The sequence below is a fragment of the Homo sapiens genome, chromosome 6, assembly GCF_000001405.40.
Source record: "Homo sapiens chromosome 6, GRCh38.p14 Primary Assembly".
In the NCBI taxonomy this organism is placed as follows: Eukaryota; Metazoa; Chordata; class Mammalia; order Primates; family Hominidae; genus Homo; species Homo sapiens.
Window position 1 is genome coordinate 82,105,139 of NC_000006.12, and position 14,440 is coordinate 82,119,578.

Below are 14,440 nucleotides of genomic sequence, written 5' to 3' on the forward strand. Positions count from 1 at the left end.
GGGACGTATCTCAAAATAATAAGAGCTATCTATGACAAAGCCACAGCCAATATCATACTGAATGGGCAAAAACTGGAAGCATTCCCTTTGAAAACTGGCACAAGACAGGGATGCCCTCTCTCACCACTCCTATTCAACACAGTGTTGGAAGTTCTGGCCAGGGCAATTAGGCAGGAGAAGGAAATAAAGGGTATTCAATTAGGAAAAGAGGAAGTCAAATTGTCCCTGTTTGCAGACGACATGATTGTATATCTAGAAAACCCCATTGTCCCAGCCCAAAATCTCCTTAAGCTGATAAGCAACTTCAGCAAAGTCTCAGGATACAAAATCAATGTAAAAAAATCACAAGCATTCTTATACACCAATAACAGACAAACAGAGAGCCAAATCATGAGTGAAATCCAATTCACAATTGCTTCAAAGAGAATAAAATACCTAGGAATCCAACTTACAAGGGACGTGAAGGACCTCTTCAAGGAGAACTACAAACCACTGCTCAAGGAAATAAAAGAGGATATAAACAAATGGAAGAACATCCCACGCTCATGGGTAGGAAGAATCAATATCATGAAAATGGCCATACTGCCCAAGCTAATTTATAGATTCAATGCCATCCCCATCAAGCTACCAATGACTTTCTTCACAGAATTGGAAAAAACTACCTTAAGGTTCATATTGAACCAAAAAAGAGCCCGCATCACCAAGTCAATCCTAAGCCAAAAGAACAAAGCTGGAGGCATCACACTACCTGACTTCAAACTATACTACAAGGCTACAGTAACCAAAACAGCATGGTACTGGTACCAAAACAGAGATATAGATCAATGGAACAGAACAGAGCCCTCAGAAATAACGCCGCATATCTACAGCTATCTGATATTTGACAAACTGGAGAAAAACAAGCAATGGGGAAAGGATTCCCTATTTAATAAATGGTGCCGGGAAAACTGGCTAGCCATATGTAGAAAGCTGAAACTGGATCCCTTCCTTACACCTTATACAAAAATCAATTCAAGATGGATTAAAGACTTAAATTTTAGACCTAAAAACATAAAAACCCTAGAAGAAAACCTAGGCATTACCATTCAGGACATAGGCATGGGCAAGGACTTCATGTCTAAAACACCAAAAGCAATGGCAACAAAAGCCAAAATTGACAAATGGGATCTCATTAAACTAAAGAGCTTCTGCACAGCAAAAGAAACTACCATCAGACTGAACAGGCAACCTACAAAATGGGAGAAAATTTTTGCAACCTACTCATCTGACAAAGGGCTAGTATCCAGAATCTACAATGAACCCAAACAAATTTACAAGAAAAAAACAAACAACCCCATCAAAAAGTGGGCGAAGGACATGAACAGACACTTCTCAAAAGAAGACATTTATGCAGCCAAAAAACACATGAGAAAATGCTCACCATCACTGGCCATCAGAGAAATCCAAATCAAAACCACAATGAGATACCATCTCACACCAGTTAGAATGGCAATCATTAAAAAGTCAGGAAACAACAGGCGCTGGAGAGGATGTGGAGAAATAGGAACACTTTTACACTGTTGGTGGGACTGTAAACTAGTTCAACCATTGTGGAAGTCACTGTGGCGATTCCTCAGGGATCTAGAACTGGAAATACCATTTGACCCAGCCATCCCATTACTGGGTATATACCCAAAGGACTATAAATCGTGCTGCTATAAAGACACATGCACACATATGTTTACTGCAGCAGTATTCACAATAGCAAAGACTTGGAACCAACCCAAATGTCCAACAATGATAGACTGGATTAAGAAAATGTGGCACATATACACCATGGAATACTATGCAGCCATAAAAAATGATGAGTTCATGTCCTTTGTAGGGACATGGATGAAATTGGAAACCATCATTCTCAGTAAACTATCACAAGAACAAAAAAGCAAACACCTCATATTCTCACTCATAGGTGGGAATTGAACAATGAAATCACATGGACACAGGAAGGGGAATATCACACTCTGGGGACTGCTGTGGGGTGGGGGGAGGGGGGAGGGATAGCACTGGGAGATATACCTAATGCTAGATGACGAGTTAGTGGGTGCAGCACACCAGCATGGCACATGTATACATATGTAACTAACCTGCACAATGTGCACATGTACCCTAAAACTTAAAGTATAATAAAAAAAAAATCTTTCAACAAATTAATAGTTAAAAACTTCCCAAGTCTAACAAGAGATTTATATATCCAAATATAGGAAGCTCAGAGATTCCTAAACAGATACAACCTAAAAATGTCTTCTCCAAGGGGCGTTATAGTCAAACTGTCAAAAGTCAAAGAAATAATTCTAAAAACAGCAAGAGAAAAGCATCTAGTCACATACAAGGTAACTCCCATCAGAGTAATAATGGATTTCTCAGAAAAAACTTTACAAGCCAGGAGAGAATTAAATGATATATTCAAAGTGCTGGGTGGGGGAAATCCTGCCAGACAAGAAAACTACATTCAGCAAAGTTATTCTACATAAATAAATAAAAAATATAGTATTTCCCAGAAAAGCAAAACTGAGGATACTGATCACCACTAGACCAGTCCTACAAGAAATGCTTAAGGGAGTCCTACACCTGGAAGCAGAAGAAAAATATCTGCCATCATGAAAATGCACAAAAGTATAAAACTCACTGATAGAGCAAATATGCAAATGAGGAACAACAAGACACAAATGTCACCACTACAAGAAACGGAAAACCACCAAACAGTAATAATAAACAATAAGAAAGAAAAGAAGAAAGGATATATGAAACAACCAGAAAACAATTAACAAAATGACATGAATAAGTCCTCATGTACCAATAATAACCTTGAATATAAACCAATTAAATTTTTCAATTAAAAGATATAGACAGGCTGAATAAATTTCTTTTTAATGATCCAGCTATATGCTGCCTACAGGAAATTTATTTTGCCCAAAGTCACATATAGACTGAAGTAAAGGCATGGAAAGATTCCACACAAGTAAAGATCAAAAAAGAGCAAGAGTAGTGATATTTATATCAGATAAAACAGACTTTAAGTAAAAAACAGTAGGTCATTATATAGGAATAAAGGGATCACTTCAGCAGGAGGATATAACTATTCTAAATATATATGCACCCAATACTGGAACACCTAGATATTTAAAGTAAATATTACTAGATCTAAAGAGAGTGATGGGCTCCAATACATAATAATAGCTGGGGGCTTCAGCATCCCCTTCTCATGATTAGACAGATCATCTAGACAAAAAAAAAAAAAAATCAACAAATAACCTTATATTTAAACTGCACTTTAAACCAAATGGACCTAATAGACATTTACAGAACATTTCATCCAAGAGCTACAAAACACACATTCCTATTGTCACCACATGGAACATTCTCCAAAATAGACCATATGTTAGGAAACAAAAGTCTCAGCAAATTTATAAAAATTGAAATCATATCAAGTATCTTCTCAGTCTGCAATGGAATAAAACCAGAGTAACAAGAGGAACTTTGAAAGCTATACAAATACATGAAAATTAAACAACAAGCTCCAACCATTGGGTCAATGGAGGAATAACCAAAGAAAAAAATTTCTTGAAACAAATAAAAATGGAAACACAACACACCGAAACATATGGGATACAGCAAAAGCAGTGCTAAGAAGGAAGTGTATAGCAATAAATGCCTACATCAAAGAAGTAGAAAGATTTCAAATAAACAATGTAATAATGCACCTCTAGGAAATAGAAAAGCAAGAACAAACCAAGCCATAAATTAGAAGAAAGCAATAATACAAATCAGAGCCCAGCTAAATAAAATAGAGACTATAAAAACAAGACAAAGGATCAACAAAATAAAAAGTTAGTTTTTTGAATAGGTAAAAATGGATAGGGGTTGCAAAAAAGAAAAAAAATTGATAAACCACTAGCTAAACTAACCAAGCAAAAAAAGAGAAATGAGACAGATAAAAATTAGAAACAAAAAGTGTACATTACAACAGATACCACAGAAATACAAAAGATTATCGGAGGCTACCATGAACAACTGAACAACTACGCTCTAACAAACTGGAAAACCTAGAGGAAACGGATACATTTTTGGACAAATACAACCTACCAAGATTAAATCAGGAAGAAACAGAATACCTGCACAGACCAATAATGAGTAAGAGATTGAATCAGAAATAAAAAGTCTCCCAAGAAAGGAAAGCCCAGGATCAGATGGCCTTACCGCCAAATTCTACCAAACTTATAAAGGAGAACTAATACCAATTCTCCTACACTATTCCAAAAAAAAAAAAAAAAATTGAGAAGGAAGGATTCTCCCTAACTCATTCTATAAGGCCAACATTACCCTGATACCAAAACCAGACAAGGACCCAACAAAAAAATGAAAACTACAGGCCAATGTCCTTGATGAATTGAGGCACAAAAATTATCAACAAAATACTATCCAACTGAATCCAACAGTACATACACATACACAATGAAGTAGGATTTATCTTAAGGATATGAGGACGGTTCAACATACACAAATCTATAAATGTGATACATCACATCAACACAATGAAGGACAAAAATTATATCATAATATCAACAGATGCTGAAAAAGCATTTGATAAAGTTTAACATTCCTTCATGATGAAGGCTCTCAACAAACTACGCATAGAGGGACCATACCTCAACATAATAAAGGTCATATATGACAAACACAGAGCTAACATATTGAATGAGAAAAAGCTGAAAACATTTCCCTTAAGAAGTGGAACAAGACAAGGATATCCACTCTCACCACTCCTATTCAACATAATATAGAGGTCCTAGCCAGAGCAATAAGGCAAGAGAACAAAATAAAAGGCATTTTCTTTTATTTCCAAATTGGAAAAGAGGAAGTCAAATTGTCATTCTTTCCTGATGATATGAACTTAGATTTAGAAAAACCTAAAGACCCCAGCAAAAACCCTGAGATCTGACCAACAAACTCAATGAAGTTTTAGGATACTAAATCAACATTAAAAAATCAATAGCATCTCTATACACCAATATTGAACTATATGAAAAAAATTAAAGAGGCAATCCTATTTACAATAGCTACAAAAAATAAAATACCTAGGAATAGATTTAACCAAGGAGGTAAAACACCTCTACAAGGAAAACTATAAAATACTGATGTCAACAATTAAAGAGGACACAAACATATGGAAAATCATCTTATGCTTATGGATCAGAATAATAATATTGTTAAAATGACCATACTACCTATGCAATCTACAGATTCAAAGCAATCCCTATTTAAATACCAATGACATTCTTCACAATCCTAAAATTAGCCTACATAACCAAAGCAATCCTGAGCAAAAAAATAGAAAGCTGGAGGTATCACATTAACAGACTTCAAAATATATTACAAGGCTATAGTAACCAAAACAGCATGAAAATCATATAAAAACAGACATGTAGACCAATGGAACTGACTAGAGAATCCAGAAACACATCCATCTATTTACAATGTCTAGTTTTCAAAAAAGAGGCCAAGGGCATACACTGGGGAAAGGACAACTCTTCAATAAATGATGCTGGAAAAATTGAATTTCCATATGCAGAAGAACAAAACTGGACTCCTATCTCTCACTATATAAAAAAATCAACTTCACATGAATTTTAAATCAATCTATTGAGATCATCATATTTTTGTCCTTTATTGTGTTCATGTGATGTATCATGTTTGTTGATTTGTGTATATTGAACCATCCTTACATCCCTAGGATAAATCCCACTTGATCATGTATGTATATGTGCTGCTGGATTCAATTTGCTAGTATTTTGTTCAGGATTTTTTGTGCCTATCTTCATCAGGGATATTGGCCTGTTGTTTTCTTTCTTTCCTTTTTTTTTTTTTTTTTTTTGATGGGACCTTGTAAATTCTTACTTCAATGTAAGATTTGAAACTATAAAACTATTAGAAGATAACAGGGGAAACACTTCAAGACATTAGTCTAGGTGATGACTTTATGGCTAAAACCTCCCTCAAAACCACAGGGAACAAAAACAAAAACAGACAATTGAGACTATATTAAACTAAAAAGCTTCTGTGCAGCAAAGGAAACAGCAGAGTAAAGAGACAACTTGTTGAATGAGAGAAAATATTTGCAAACTATATGTAGACAATTGAGACTATATTAAACTAAAGAGCTTCTGCATAGCAAAGGAAACAGCAGAGTGAAGAGACAACCTGTTGAATGAGAGAAAATACTTGCAAACTAGTTATATGACAAAGGGCTAATATCTAGAATATACAAGGAACTCAAATAACACAACAGTAGAAAAACAACCCCATTAAAAAGCTGGCAAAGGACATGAAGAGACATTTCTCAAAAAAAGACCTACAAATGGTCAACAAATACGTGAAAAAATGCTCAATATCATTAATCATCAGAGAAATGCAAATCAAAACCACAATGAGATATCATCTTAATACGGTTAGAATGGCTAATATCAAAAAGACAAAAAAAAACTGTACTGGGGAGGATGAGGAGAAAAAGAAATCTTATACACTGTTGGTGAGAATGTAAATTAGTCCAGCCATTATGGAAAACAGTATGGAGAATGGAGATTTATCAGAAAACTAAAAATAGAATTACCATATGATCCAGCAATCCCACTAATGAGTATTTATCCAAAGGACAGAAAAATTAGAATATCAAAGGGATAATGCTCCCACATGTTTATTTCAGCACTACTCATATAGCAATGATATGAAATCAACCTAAGTGCCCATCAACAGATGAATGAATAAAGAAATGTGACATATATACACAATGAAATACTTTTCAGTCATAAAAAAGGAATGAAATCCTGTCATTTGCAGTAATGTGGATGGGACTGGAAGTCATTATGTTGAGTGAAATAAGCCAGGCACAGAAAGACAGATATCACATGTTCTCACACATATATATGAAGAAGCTAAAAAAAACTGATCTCATGGAAGTAGAGAGTAGAATGATAGTTACCAAAACCTGGGAAGGGTTGCTAGAGTGGGTGGGAGGGATGAAGAGAGGTTGGTTAATGTGTGCCAAATACAGTTAGATAAAAGGAATACATTCTAGTGTTTACAGATAACTATAGTCACAGACTATAGTTGACAACAATGTAGTGTATATTTCAAAACAGGTAGAAGAGAGCTCTTGAAATGTTTCCAACACATAGTAATGATAAATGCTTGAGGTGATAGATACCCTGAATACCCTGACTTAATCGTTACACATTCTGTGCATGTAACAAAATATCACATGTACCCCACTAATACTAGGTATTCATAAAAAAAAGAAATAAAGGAACACTATTGTGTTGAGAGCCAGACATTCTTGAAGTGACATGTAAAAGTCACTTGGCAAAGGAAAGCATTATTAACAATTAGATGCAAAAGTTTGGAGCTGTGATAAAGAGTGGTTTTCTACAATTTCTCACTTTGAGTTTCATAGATTCTGGCAGCAGTCTTTAGAAAGAAGGCATAATATCACATTCACTTGTAATTTACTGTTGAAAACAGGCTGTGTGAAAATGATTCTCATCAGTGGCTACTGAAACCCCAGGACAGCCACTCTAGTGATAAGATGGACATCACACCCCTGAGGCCCATCACCTTCCATTTCAGAGTTACAGAAGAGCTAGCAACAAGGATTGTCACCTTGAGGTCTGAGTACTCAGGAATGTTTGTGGAGTGAATTATTCTGAGTGAATGAATAAATGAGGCGCTCAGAAAAGAAACTCAAGTGGAACTATCCTCCACTTTGATTTTGTTGTTTACTTCCTGCTCAGGCCTCAGTGTAACTATGAAAAAAACATTTTCTTAATGGCTTATTAGACATTAGTACCTAGTCAAAGTCAAGCTTGTTTGAAAATAGACTTTATTTTCCATTTTCAAATTCTAATTAGCTTCATATTAAATAACTGATTTTTATTCATAGACTACAGAAGTCAGACTATCACATTCTAAATTAGAATTAAGATTTCCCCAAGGAGACGATTCAGAATAGAATGTGATGTGGTGCATGCTTTCCTTCCTTCCCCTTCTCCCTTGTAAGTGTAATCTTTTTAGAGGAATTTACTGTTAATCCTATAATGATGCCTGAAGGAAAATCAGTGAGGATAGAGTAGGTCTGATTGTTCTAACCATAAATACTATCAGTTAGAGCTAGAAATAACTTTGGGAAACCATCACCACCAAAACTATGGTTAAACTAAAACTAACACAATACAATTTGAAGTGGGTGAATGACTGTGGTTCAGACAACAGTTTTCTCTTTATTGCAGGTTTATAGGCAGAGGTCACTACAGAGTCAACCATCGTGGTTTCTGACAAGCCTTTTCCAGCTCTGCAGTCCAGAGATCCTGAACACGATCATCTTCTCTATGTAATTTCCCATTCCCTTAAAATTCCCTTGGATTCACTTTGCGGAGGGCAGAGAGGTGTGCTTGATATGGTGTTTTCTTCATCTGAGGCCAAAAGATGGAGCATCAGGGTAGAAGGAGAAATTCTTAGAGGAAGCAGGAAAGAGGAGTCCGAGTTGACCACTGGATGTTTTTTTCTCCTAATAATGGTGCCCAAACTTCTTTTTCACCAAGGCTGAATGGCCATCCGCAAAATCTCCAACCTAAGAGACGGTTTCATCTACTTCCAGGCAAAACTGACAATGTGAAAATACCGGAGTCACTGAGCAAATTCACTCCAGCCTGTGCTGACTGAGACTTACATCTTACAATTAAGCAGTGTTTTGTCCTGCCTTACAAATCAGTAGTTTCCTTATTGCTTAACATAAATACATCTTATCAAAAGGAAAAACAAAATCTTCATAAAATAATAAAACTATATAATGCTACTTGATACTGCTCTATCACAATTTGAGAATATCAAACATGAATTGAGTAATCATCATTTATGGGAAAGGAGAAGTGATTTGAAATAGTGATATTGCCTGGCCCTTCAATTTATAAAGTCACAATGTAAGAAGAAATGGCGAAATACAGAAGGAAATTGAGTTACAGACTAACCCAGGAGGCTGACAAGTAAAATCCAGAGCGTTCTGGGTTCTGTGCTGCTTCCATGTCCTCAAGGGAGCACATCACTCTCACTGTAGTAGACACTACTATACAGTACCCATTCTCCCCTTCTTTCTTACTTTAGGGGAAGCAGTTGTGTTCAGGTTAAACACACACCACCACCACCATTTTCTGGCTTTACTTGTAACTCCAGATGTCCATGTGACACAGTTGCGATTTAAGATGTAAGCGGTGTGTGATAGGGTGGGTTCCTGGAAAACGTTGTTTAAAGGGAGTAAATGTGGCCAGCCCGTGCCTCTTTCCCTTCATCCTTTTCCTCCTTTCCTGAAGACACCGTGTTGGGAAATAGAGGAGCCATCTTACAATCATGAGGAAGAGTAGCTGAACTAAGGGTGTCAGGGCAAAAGAAAAAAGCCCTGTGTGTTTCAGCAGGTGTCATTCTGATCATTTGAGCCCAACACAGTCTCTAATTGACACACTCATCTCTGTAAATGAGGAACCTCCTGGAAACTGACCAGAGTCACACACGATACGTAAAAGAGCCATGATTCAAGTCCACGTCTATTTTCCAGGCGCCCATTCTTTTTCTTCTTTGTCCCTACTGTTTGCCTCTGCTTCCTCAGTTGAGACCTAGAACTTATGGTGTTTTCTAGTAGCTCACAACTCCTGGTAAAAGTTCCTGAAAATGATTCATTTCACAATACTAAATGACAGACTTAACCTCCTGTTTGATCTTGTCATGCCAAAGTGAGTTCAAAGGTATTCTTTGAACTAGTCCTCATTGAAACATTGAAGGAAATTCAGAGCAAGCTTCCTAAAGAACAGGGCATTAGTACTGGGCTGTGAAGGTTTCAGGGATTTCGACCACTGAGGTCATAGAAGGAAAGGCATTTCAAGCAAAGAGGACACTTTGAGTGAAAGCATAAAGAAGGTCAACCCCAGTTTGGCAGGAGCAAAGGATACGTAAAGAGCTATACTCACTTTTTTAAAGTTTTTATGCACTAAATATTTCCAAAAATGATTCTGGAGGTGACATACAGTAAACAATGGAAATTCAATAAAACCGCAAAACCAAAATAAAAATGGGAATTATTTATAGTGCTGAATAATAAACCTGGTAGAAGATACTAGTACCAGACAACCTAAACTAAGGAAATCTTCAGCAGCTGAGTGCAAAACTGAATTTAACTTTCCGGCAGCAAAAGCAAAAAAACAAGAATGTAATGTGTTGTATTGTAGCATCAATAAATGGCAGAAACAGTTTTCCAAGAATTGAAAGCACTTACTGAGTATCAATTACACTGTAGGTTATTTTTAATCTATGTGCAGAACTGCAAGCCTGGGAATTTTGTTCAATGCAGTGAGGCTAAATAGACAGGAAAGGTTGAAAACTACTGTACTAGGAGATGGAGGTACAAAGAGGAATAAGACACAGAACCTGCCTTCTAGAAATTTCTAATCCTAGATGAGGGAGATGAAGAAATGAAGGCTTATTGGGTACAAACTATGTAATGGGCATCTTTAATCTCATTAAGTCTTAGTAAATCCTCAACACATCGCCTCAAGAGTAGCTGTTATTTATTAATTGTCCCACTGGCAGATAGGAAAACTAAGTTGTTGAGAGGTAGAGTGCATGGCCAATGGCACAAAGCTAGTAAGAGATGGAATCAAAAATTAATCTCAGAACCATTTGATGCCTTAAATCACATGCTCTTGACCCAGAAGTTTCTAAGTGTAAGAATAGCAAATGAATCTTTTTCTTTTCAGGTGGGGGTACACACTCTTGTCCTAGTGTCTTCTCCCAAGTCCCTTTCCATGCGGGGCGATCCCCAGAGACCCCAGCTTGTGCAATTTAGATCCACAGGGCCAAATGATGTCTCTCTCCAAATTTAGATTTTCCTGGCTCTGATTGCTGAGGTTATCCCATGCAGAACATCACAGTCAGAGGATTATAGATAACACTATAATGGGTTCCTCTTCAGCATCACTGTAATCATCAGTGTAGATTCCTTCTTTACATGGTCATTCTTCCACTGACACGCCTAAAAGCCAAGGACGCACTGCTAAATTGTAAAGCTTTCAAAGCACTTATTTGGAGATCTCAGGTTATGTAAGGTTTAGATAGTCTGGTGCAAACTGGAGGAAAGTTAGGCATATAATTAGCATGTTCAAGAATCTGTATTAATTTTTCATTGAATACGTATGTTTTCAGGATATGGAAAGTGAAAGTGTTGATATTAGAATCACTAAGAATAAGCTGAAGGTATCCTAGAGCTGATTTAAAGTAGTTCCAAGCTAAAGATTCTAGGCTTGTAGGAAGGAAGGCTGACATTTAGGAGTAAAAATCAGAGAATCTGATTTGTTTTCTAGCTATATCACAGGTTTGCATGATTGAGCATGACTCAAGTGGTTTTCCAAATGTCTGAGTTATAATACATGAATAAGATGAACTGGGCCTGGAGATTTTGAGGCTAGGAGTTACACATTATGTCCCTCCATCATCAAAGACTCCTGGAATACAGTGTGGTTTTAGATTAATTCGTGTATTCCCAGGCTCTACTCTGATCCTGGGTCTTCATATAAGAAGGAATCATAACACAGGTCCCTTATTTTTAAAATCCTTTTGGAGATTCACATAGCCCTAGACAGGAATTGGGAGGATTTTTTGTTTGTTTGTTTTTTGGGGTTTTTTTTCCAGTTTTTTTTAATTGGGAGTTTTAAAAACCTGCACAAAGGGAACAAGGCATTCTTCTTAGTCTCATTCTGATAGAAGAAGAGTCAAGTATTAATCAAGTATGATCAGAAGTTCAGCTGCACAAACCAAAATAAAGAATCACAAATCCTTGACTAGTATCGGATTCAAGCTTGTGGCACAGAGTCCAGGAGAGTAGGCTCTGGAAACCCCCACCTATTTGCTGCTCATGAAGGGCAGCCAAATACCCAGGGATTGTGTTTGTCAGAAACCATGGTCTTGAGTTCTGAGATCTCCTGGTGGTTTAGCTTATAGATCTCCTGAATTACTAAGACTGTTCATTTTCTATCTGGGGACTCTCAGTCTTTTTATACATTAAGTATCTCTATTAGGAGAAATGACCTGGTACGATGGTATATTAGGAGGAAGGTTTCACCTGAGACAGAGAGACTATGTAGGCAGCTATTGCAAGGGTTCAAAGGAAAATAATAAGGAACCGAATTAGGGTTGGGAAATAAAAACAAGGATGAGAAAGAGATAAAATAGAGTTATCAGTGGGTTTGGCATAAGAAAGGAGCTTGGTGGAGAGAAATTCTTAAGAAATCACAGGACTCATAATACCTATACCAATTGTGGAAAATTGTTAAAATTCAACAGAATAAAAGACTTTATGGACAAATATAGTTGTACTATTATTTTAAGCAGAAATTTATAAATAACTGAAATTTCCAATGACAGGGAAATAGGTAAGTCAACTATAGTGAGAATGAAGTAGAACATTTAATGATCCTATTATATGCCTGAAGTCAGGAAAAAGTAGAACCTGAAGTCCAAAGTCCTCCTGAGTTCACTTGACTGTCTTAACCTGTCTATTGTTGAAGCCAAGGTTGTGGGTCAGGTAGGGTGTTCAGGAATCTGGGAGGGATGTGAGTGTGCAGCATGAACTGAAAGGCTGGTCCAGACACTCCAACCCAACACATTGCTCCAGGAAGGCCCGCCATAGAGAGAGAGGCGGGACCTAAGGACGTCAGAGCAATCGAGCTCAGGGAGAAAGAAAAAGGCAGAAGTTAAGGGGTTTTCAGGGAGAGATTGCGGCCTCACCTATGAGTGGAGAGGGGGAAATTAGAAGTTCATAACTAATATGAACAGTCATTTCTTGACCTAAGAAATGGAATAGGGAACTCACTATGCAACCATATGCTTTTCTCATACGTCTCCCACAAAATGCATTTCCAGTGGCCACATGATACCAGCAGAGCTGTGGGAGAGGCACAGTGCTGAAAGGAGCGTAATTCCATCTCAAAGTTGTGCCAACCCCAGGGGCTCTGTTTTCCATGGCACTGAAAGTCAAGTATTAACCAGGACCCAGATAAGCTGAAGCCCTTTATGTAACCATACTTTTTTATAGTGTAGTCCAGATAACAAGCACGTATGAAGAATGTATTTGGCAACAAAGTAAGAACTTCTAGTGTGGTGCTATGTATGCCAAAAGTGTTGTGGTATAATCTTTGTGTGAGTATTGTACCTTCAGGCTTTAAAACTCTTAAGGGATCCACATTTGCCTGCTACAGGAAGGAGGATGTGGAGAGTTATGCAATCATTCACTGTAATATAAGAGGCCCCACGGTGCACAGGAAAGAGTCCTGAGTTTGAAGTCAGACCAGGGTAACTTTACTAGCTGTATGACCTCAGAAACATCATTCAAAATGACACTTTCCTTCTATATAAAATGAGGCTAATAGTGCTTCTAGCATCTTTCAGAATTATTTTAACAACTGTGAAATATTAAAAATAAAAATATTAAAATCTCTATAAAAGTATCTATAAAGAACTACATAAAATAATATTAAAATAATGTACTAAAGCCTGTTTCGGCCTATTACAGAGACTCCTAAACATTACAGATAGGTTCTAGGGTTACATACCACTTATTCCCAAACCTAAAAATCTAGCCAACTTCTTTTCTAAGTTCAAAGCCTTATCTAAATATTTCACAAGAGTCACACTGAAAATGCCATAAACTCACCTCAAAGTCAATCCCTCCTCCTGTTTTCTCTTTCTTAATGAATCATATAACCATCCGCCCAAGGTCACAAATCAGAAACTTGAAAGTTGTTCTGCTTCCCTCTCCTGTTTACTCCTAAATTCTATTGATGCAAATACCATTTGTACCTGTCTCTATCATCAGGCCTTAGTTGATTTCTTGCTTCTTACCTCTGTTTATCCTTCCGCTAGTCTCTTACCCTTGCTGTTGCAATTGATAGCTTTCTAAAGTTTAAGTCCAAATATGACGCTCTCCTAAAATTCTTTCATGGCTTGCCGTGGTTCTCAGTACAACCCCAATCCCTTTCACAAAGCTCACTAAGCCCTTTGTGATGGTCCCTGTACTCCTCCCAAGGGTCTCATTTACTTATCTCTCCTCTGCTCCAAAATCCAGATGCACTGATCTGCAGTTCCCTGAATGTGCCGTCTCTCCATGTGAATGTACTGTTAATTCTGTTCCTGGAATACTGTTCTTATTTAGCTTACTCTTACAAGTCTTTAAGGTTCAGTTTAAATACCATCTCTTCCAGCAAACCACCGCACACCACTCCAGTACACACACACATACACATACACATGTAGTCCTGGCACCTCCATAGCCATAGTCTCCATAACATTTCTCGTATTGCAATTTTTGTTT

The 14,440-nt window shown here is 37.1% G+C and overlaps 1 long non-coding RNA gene across 1 annotated transcript in view; it reads left to right on the forward strand.

The window, feature by feature from the left end:
* The window catches only part of LOC107986617 (uncharacterized), a 97,872-nt gene extending 87,535 nt beyond the window's left edge, over positions 1-10,337 (forward strand). Inside the window, exon 4 of the long non-coding RNA XR_001744231.2 lies at positions 8,319-10,337. This is a non-coding gene — a long non-coding RNA (uncharacterized LOC107986617). The remainder of the gene's footprint in view (positions 1-8,318) is intronic.
* The last annotated feature ends 4,103 nt before the right edge of the window (positions 10,338-14,440 follow it).